We start from the raw sequence: 8,529 nt of genomic DNA, 5'->3' as shown, positions 1-8,529 counted from the left end.
GACATTATTAAATAAATATGGTAAAATTAAACAATGGTATACTATGTATTTTTATAGAACTCAGTCTTTTATGTTATGAAGTGGAAATTTCTTTAAGAGAAATTCTAAAGTGAAAAAAAAGTATTGCATGAACAAAATGCTTAATGCGTATTTGGGTAAAAATGTAAATAACCCATATTCACTTACCTGTACAACAAATCATTTTAATAGAATTTTCAAGGGGCTAATTGTATTGACTTCCCTCTCAAGAAAGAAAATGAGAGGCTAAAAGTAAATAGCCATAATGGAGACTTAAACTTTTAGAATATTTTAAATATTGCCCTCTATCAATATATTATCTAATAAAATAGTAAGTTAACTAAAAATTGTTCATGGAGGTAGAGAAGAGATGGGAGGCAATAAAGACAGTCTTCAAAAATAAAATGGAAAGTATATGCTCTATGACCCAGCAATCCCTTAATACCCTTAAGAATACTGGTCAGAGAGGAAGACAAGTTGTAAAGAATGCATATTATGGAATGGTCTTCTGCATTTAGAGAAAAAAAATACTAGATCTACATTCAGCAAATTGGTCTTTAAAACATGCTATGAAGAAAAGAAAGAAAATTACATCTAAAGCACAGTGGCATTTTCATAAATTCAAAATTTATGCATAAAAAGCAACATTATATATCCTACAAGGATATATATTAATACTTACCAAAGAATAGATATCAAATACTTTAGCTACCTAAGAAGAAAGGGTAGTATTAGTGATGTTTTGGCGCATGAAAAACTACCCCAATATGGACCAGGCGCGGTGGCTCATGCCTGTAATCCCAGCACTTTGGGAGGCCGAGGCAGGTGGATCACGAGGTCAGGAGATCGAGACTATCCTGGCTAACACGGTGAAACCCCTTCTCTACTAAAAATACAAAAAAAAATTAGCTAGGCGCGGTGGCAGGCACCTGTAGTCCCAGCTACTCGGGAGGCTGAGGCAGGAGAATAGCGTGAACCTGGGAGGCGGAGCTTGCAGTGAGCCGAGATCCCGCCACTGCACTCCAGCCGGGGCGACAGAGTGATACTGTCTTAAATAAATAAATAAATAAATAAATAAATAAATAAATAAATAAAGTACCCCAACACCATATCTATTACTTCAAATAGTTTCTGAGGGTAAGACATCTAGAAATGGCTTTGCTGAGTGGTTCTGATTTAGGCTTTTTCTGGAGGCTGTAGTCAAAATGTAGGCTGGTGCTATGGGCATCTATAAACTTAACTGGGATTGGTAGACCAACTTCCCAAAAAAGTTTGGATAACATAAGCCTGTTGGCTGGTGACCTCAGTTCCTTGCCCTATGGGCGTGCCCACTGAGCTGCCTGAATGTCTTCACAAATTGGCATCTGGATGCCTCCAGTGTAAGTAAACTCAGAAAGGGAAAATTTAACACACACTTATATAAAACAATAATTTATTTACTCTGATGATAGTTTCTTTTGCTGTGCAGAAGCTCTTTAGTTTAATTAGATCGCATTTGTCAATTTTGGCTTTTGTTGCAATTGCTTTTGATGTTTCAGTCATGAAGTCTTTGCCCATGCCTATGTATTGAATGGTATTGCCTAGGTTTTCTTCTAGGGTTTTTTGGTTTTAGGTTTTACATTTAAGTCTTTAATACATCTTGAGTTAAGTTTTGTACAAGGTGTAAGGAAGGCGTCCAGTTTCTGTTTGCTGCATACGGCTAGCCAGTTTTCCCAGAACCATATATTAAATAGCGAATCCTTTCCCCATTGCTTAAACAGGCAGCCTACAGAAGGGGAGAAAATTTTTGCTTTCTATCCATCTGACAAAGGTCTAATATCCAGAATCTACAACGAACTTAAACAAATTTACAAGAAAAAAACAAACAATGCCATTAAAAAGTAGGCGAAGGATATGAACAGACACTTCTCAAAAGAAGGCATTTATATGGCCAACAAACATATGAAAAAAAGCTCATCATCATTGGTCATTAGAGAAATGCAAATGAAAACCTCAATGAAATACCATCTCACACCAATTAGAATGGTGATCATTAAAATGTCAGGAAACAACAGATTCTGGAGAGGGTGTGGAGAAATAGGAGCACTATTACACTGTTGGTGGGAGTGTAAATTAGTTCAACCATTGTGGAAGAAAGTGTAGTGATTTCTCAAGGATCTAGAACCAGAAATACCATTTGACCTAGCAATCCCATTAATGGGTATATACCCAAAGGGTTAGAAATCATTCTACTATAAAGACACATGCATACATACGTTTATTGCAGCACTATTTACAATAGCAAAGACTTGGAACCAACCCAAATGCGCATCAGTGATAGACTGGATAAAGAAAATGTGGCACATATACACCATGGAATACTATGAAGCCATAAAAAAGAATGAGCTCATGTCCTATGCAGGGACACGGATGAAGCTGGAAACCATCATTCTCTGCAAACTAACACAGGAACAGAAAACCAAATACCGCATGTTCTCACTCATAAGTGGGAGCTGAAGAATGAAAACACGTGGACAGAGGAAGGGGAACATCATACACTGGGGCCTGTCAGGGGGTGGAGGGTAAGGGGAAGGAGGCCATTAGGACAAATACCTAATGCACGTGGGGCTTAAAACCTAGAGGACAGGTTGATGGGTGCAGCAAACCACCATGGCACATGTATACCTATGTAACAAATCTGCACATTCTGCAGATATATCCTAGAACTTAAAGTATAATAAAAAATAAAAAAAAATTTAATCTTATATTGCCTGATATGGTAGTGGCACAAAAATGATATGATTAGCTTGATTTTATGTACCTAAATACAAAGAAAAGCACAAATACACGTGTCATTCATACATAGTCACACAGCTATTTATGCATACTCTTGATAAGCATATTTCCAATATGTTTGCATTACCCATGATGATGCGGTGAAAATCTTTGTATAGATTTCAGTGTGTACTTGTGAGTGATATATACTTATTAGTGGAAATGTGACCTTTGTAGGCACATCTCCCTTTACACTTGCTGATAAATTTCTCCCCAAAGTGGACATAGTAATGCACAGTCCCACCAGCAGTAAGGAGAGTTCCCATATACATTATCCTTACTGAACTTGAATTTTTTGGCAAATCTAATAGATAGGAAATGATATAATGTTTTAAATTAGATTTTTCCCAATTACTAATGTTTTTGAGCACCTTCTTATGATCAATTTTAAGTTAATATTTCCACTTCTGTGAATCATCTTTTCAAGGTCTTCTTCATTTGTTTACTTTGGCTATTTATTCTTTGGGAATTATTTTAATAATCTGATTAGAAATCTTTGACCTTGTACTGCCTTGCAAATATTGTCTCCAAGTCTCTGGCATGTCTTTTTTTAGGTACCTGTTGATGGACCAAAATAATACTTCGATTTATACTGCTTTTTCTTAATGGATTATGCTTTTTGAATTTTGCTTAAGGAATCCTTCCCAACCTGAGATTATAAATATTCTTCTCTATACTTTTAATGCAATTTTCAAGAATATATTTTCAGTTCAAGTCTTTAATATGTCTGAAACTTAATTTAAGTATATTGTTATAATAGGATAGAGTTGTATTTTACTTCTTACAATGATAACAAATTGTTCTACAATTATTTTTGTATTGTTGAACGTATTTACTTTTTCTACTGATTTGTAAATATATTCTCTTACATACTAAGTTTAAATATACACATGCCCCATTCTGGGTCCTCTACATTCTTTTGATATATTTGTTTATAAAACTACACCAGGAGCAAACTGTCCAAATTACTGACTTTACAATAATTCTTTATAGCTTGTTTAATTTGCCACTTTAATATCTTTATATATTTCTGACTAGTTTAGCTATTTATTTTCATACCAACTTGGTAAGTTTCACTTAATATATTTGCTTTTAATTGAAATTTTTCTGAGTTATAGATCCACTATCAGAGGATTAAAAACTACAAACTAGAAAGGATTCTCATCTAGGCAACAGATATACTTCTGTTTGTTTAGGTATTTTATAGCTTTCAGTAATTTTCTCTATAAATGTCTTAAATATCTTTTATTAAGTTTATCACCAGGTAACTTACAATTCTTGCTGTTATTGCAGAACATAATTTTTTATTATTACATTTTAGAAGTTGTGGCTGGTATATAGAAATAATATTGATTTCTGGATCTTGATCTTATATCTGGCAATCTTGCTGAAATTTCTAATTAATTTTTATTGTTTCTAGACTTCATTAGATTATATATGTTGTCAACTGTATCATCCTTAAATGACTAACTTTACAATTGTTATATTTAATTTATTTTATTGGTTTCTTATATTATCTAAGGCCAATAATGTTTTCAATAATGTAGGTGACACTGGACATATGTTTCTTGTTCCTAACTTTAATATATTTCTCAAGTTTTCCTTAAGAGTGATGTATGTTCTAAACTCCAGATAAGGCAGTTCTCTTCTAGTTATTAAGCTTGTCTTTCTTGGTTACATGGGTTTTAAACATGAATGAGTGTTGATACATATAATTTTTCTGAACCCATTTAAGTGATTATATTGATTTTTAATAATCTAATGTTATATAGACAATTTTTCTGATGACAAACTACCTTTATATTTCTTAGAAAAATTCGGTATTTTGTTTTATATAATTTACTTAGGTGGTATTTATGTATACCTTTGTAAATAAGATTGATATATGTTTGTCTTAGCTCTATAAAGCACATTGCATTGGTACTCACTTTGGTGTCAGTGCTGTACTAGCCTCGTAAAAATGAACTAGGTGTGGGATCCTCCTCTGGTTTCTAAAAATTTGAAATAGGATAATAGTTTTATGTTTCATTAAGTTTTGGTAAAACATGTTTTTAAAAGTACCTTGATTTAGTATCAAGTGGAGATTGTTAAATGGAGATTTTTTTACTATCACTTCCATGGTTTTGGTTTAAAAATGTTTTTAATTTTATTGACTAAATTTTGACAATTTATTTGAAATTACCATTCTATATATGATTCAAAATTTATTGAAATATAGTTTTTTGCTCGCAAGGTGTTTTAAACCTTTTATAACAATGGTTTTCTTTATCTATTCTTGATATCCATGTTGGATTAATTTTAATTTTTACTATATAAATTTCCTCTCATCTTAACTCTTATTGCTTACTTTCATTTTTACTCTATTTTATTATTTTCTTGCATGCAATACTTATCTCATTGATTTTCTTGTATATTTATTAAAAACATTTATAACATAAAAGGTACCTATGAGTACAATGTAATCTCTTTTTTGTAAGATTTGGTGTTTGGTATTTTCAATAATGTTCAGATTTAAACTTTAAAAATGCACAGGAACTTTCTCAATAATCTACGATATTTTTATTCTCAATAATCTAATAGATAAGCATTAGAAAATATTTATCTATTTTTAAATTCTTTGAACATTTTTGTCTCTCGGTAGTTGGCCAGACTTTTCTTTCTTTTTCTTTTTGCTAAGTATTTAAGAGTCGTACTTGATGTATGGAATCTCAGTTTCACTTTCCCAATTTGAGTAGTTTCAAGGCCTTTTCTCCTTGAGGATTTTCAGAATCCTCTCTTTTTTTTCACTTCCTGTTTCAGGTTATGTTTTATTTTACGAAATCTCAGTTATTCTGATTGGTATTTGATTTAAATGTTTATACAGCACTTTTAAGTGTTTTTAGAAAAAAGATTATCAGGCTATCACTTAGGTTATCTTCATAGACACAAACAAGCAAACAAAATTTACATAAACTCTTATATGACAGTTTAGTTATGAAGTTCATTCTGAATCTTATGAATTCCTTAAGCATGTACAATGAGTACTTCATTCTGTTCTCTCATTGTTTTTACCATAAAATAAAGGCATCTGTGATCTATTATCTTAATTTTGTAGAAAATCTGTTTTTTTTCTTCTGGTAACTTTTAATAATTTTCTTTCTTTTTTCTTTTTGCTTCTTGTGTTTTAGTGTCAAGGACAAATATCTAGTTATTAATTCATTTTATTTTTCTTCTTCAGAACTTAGACTAAACTTTTAAACTGATAATTTACTTATTTCTTCTATTCTGAAATGTTTTAGCCATTATGCCCTTGTACATAGCAACTCTGGTTTTAACCATTGAGCCTGGTGTTAGTTTATTGGTTTCCATGAAATATATTTATTCTCCTTATATTACTTTGAAGCATCTGTCAATCACACATCATGTCCTGCACCCAGTAGGCTTGTACTTTCTGGACCACTTGTATAATTACTATTTTCTTTCAAAACAATTTTTATTTTATGTTTTGCAGATTGAACATGCTTTTTAAATTTGTCAATTTGTCTTTTTAGCTTTAATTTTTATTGCTATTAATATTTATTTGAGACAGAGAGGGAACTCAATGAATGAATTTATCAAATTATTTTGACTTTTATTTTAAGTTCAGGGATACATGTGCAGGATGTGCAGGTTTGTTACATAGGTAAACGTAAGCCATGTTGGGTTGCTGCACAGATCATCCATTACCTAGGTATTAAGTCCAGCATCCATTAGTTATTCTGTCTGGTGCTCTCCCTTCCCCTGTCCCCCACAACAGGCCCTTGTGTGTGTTCTTCCCGTCTATGTCTATGTGTCCATGTGTTCTCATCATTTGCCTCCCAATGATAAGTGACAACATGTGGTGTTTGGTTTTCTGTTGCTGCATTACTTTGCTGAGAATAATGGCTTCCAATTCTATCCATGTCCCTGCAAAGGACATGATCTCATTCCTTTTTAAGGCTGCATAGTATTCCATGGTTTATATGTACATTTTCTTTATCCAGTCTATCATTTCATGGGCATTTAGGTTGATTCCATGTCTTTGCTATTGTGAATGGTGCTACAATGGCTGCAATGAACATACACAGGCATGCATCTTTGTAATAGAATAATGTACATTTCTTTGGTAAATACCCAGTAATGAGATTGCTGGGTCAAATGGTATTTCTGCTTCTAGGTTTTGAGAAGCCACAACACTGTCTCCCTCAATGATTAAATTAATTTACACTCCCACTAATAGTGTAAAAGTGCTCCTTTTTATCTACAACCTCACCAGCATCGGTTGTTTCTGGATTTTTTAACAATAACCATTCTGACTGGTATGAGATGGTATCTCATTGTGGTTTTGATTGGCATTTCTCTAATAATTAGTGATGTTGAGCTTCTTTTATGTTTGTTGAATGCATGTATGTCTTCTTTTGAGAAGTGTCTGTTCATATCCTTTGCCCACTTTTTAAAATGGGTTTGTTTTTTCTTGTAAATTTGTTTAAGTTCCTTGCAGACTCTGGATGTTAGACCTTTGTCAGATGAATATATTGCAAACATTTTCTGTAGGTTGTCTGTTCAATTTGATGTTTTTTTTTTTTGTTTTTTGTTTTTTGTTTTTTTGTAGTGCAGAAGCTCTTTAGTTTAATTGTATCCCATTTGTCAATTTTTCCTTTTCTTGCAATTGCTTTTGGTGTTTTCACTATAAAATCTTTGTCTGTGCCTATGTCCTGAATGGTGTTGCCTAGCTTTCTTCAAGGGCTTTTATATTTTGGATTTTACATTTAAGTCTTTAAACCATCTTGAGTTAATTTTTGTATATGGTGTAAGGAATGTGTCTAGTTTCAATTTTTGGCATATGGCTAGCCAGTTCTCCCAGCACCATTATTAAACAGGGAATCCTGGACAATAGGTGAAAATGGCAGATAGGCTGGACTAACTTGCAACTCCCACTCAGCTGAACAGAGCAACATATGGAGGCTCACATCATGCACTTTTGCTCCAAGAAATACTACATGAACATACCAGGAAAGCCAAGAGAATCCGTAGACACTTTGAAGGAAGCTACTTACCTCTGCAGGCTTTGTGAGACAGCTGAAAACTGTGAGAGCCCAAAGGGTTCTCCCCCAATGGATGAGGGGGGACATCTGTCCCCAAAAACACATCCTTACTGGGGAACCTGAAGGTCCAGATCACAGGAGAAGGATTAGATCTTACCTTGAGCTGAGACGAATTTAGAGAGTCAAGTGAAATATAGGACTAAAGGAAGCAGTGGGAAAAGCCCTGTAGGCACTCTTGGTCCCAAGGGATGCCATTTCTGACTTCATCTCACAGGGGTCCTCGGGGTGGGCTGCCAGTAGAATTGGGGAAAGACGACAGGAAGAAGGAAACTTCCAGTTGAACTATGTAACAATTTCAAAAGAACCCAACGTTTCCTGGACAGAATCTGGGACAGGGGAAAACCTGGAGTGTGGATAGCAGCACAGAAACTGCAGTAGGTAGGGAGAGGTAAAACCTGAAAGCCCTGCTTGCTTTCTCAGCAGGGAGGCATGTAGCCTAGAGCAAGTTGTTCTCAGCCCTGCTCACTGGCTGCCTGGAAATAAACTCAATGCTGTTGACGGGAGTTGGGGGTGGGGGAGCATATTGGGAGAGAGACTGGCCTTTTGGGCTGCATGAGAGCTGGGTGAAGCCTGTCACTGCTGGCTTTCCCTCACT

The sequence above is a fragment of the Homo sapiens genome, chromosome 4, assembly GCF_000001405.40.
Source record: "Homo sapiens chromosome 4, GRCh38.p14 Primary Assembly".
NCBI classification, from domain to species: Eukaryota; Metazoa; Chordata; class Mammalia; order Primates; family Hominidae; genus Homo; species Homo sapiens.
Note: the sequence above shows the minus strand (reverse complement) of the source record.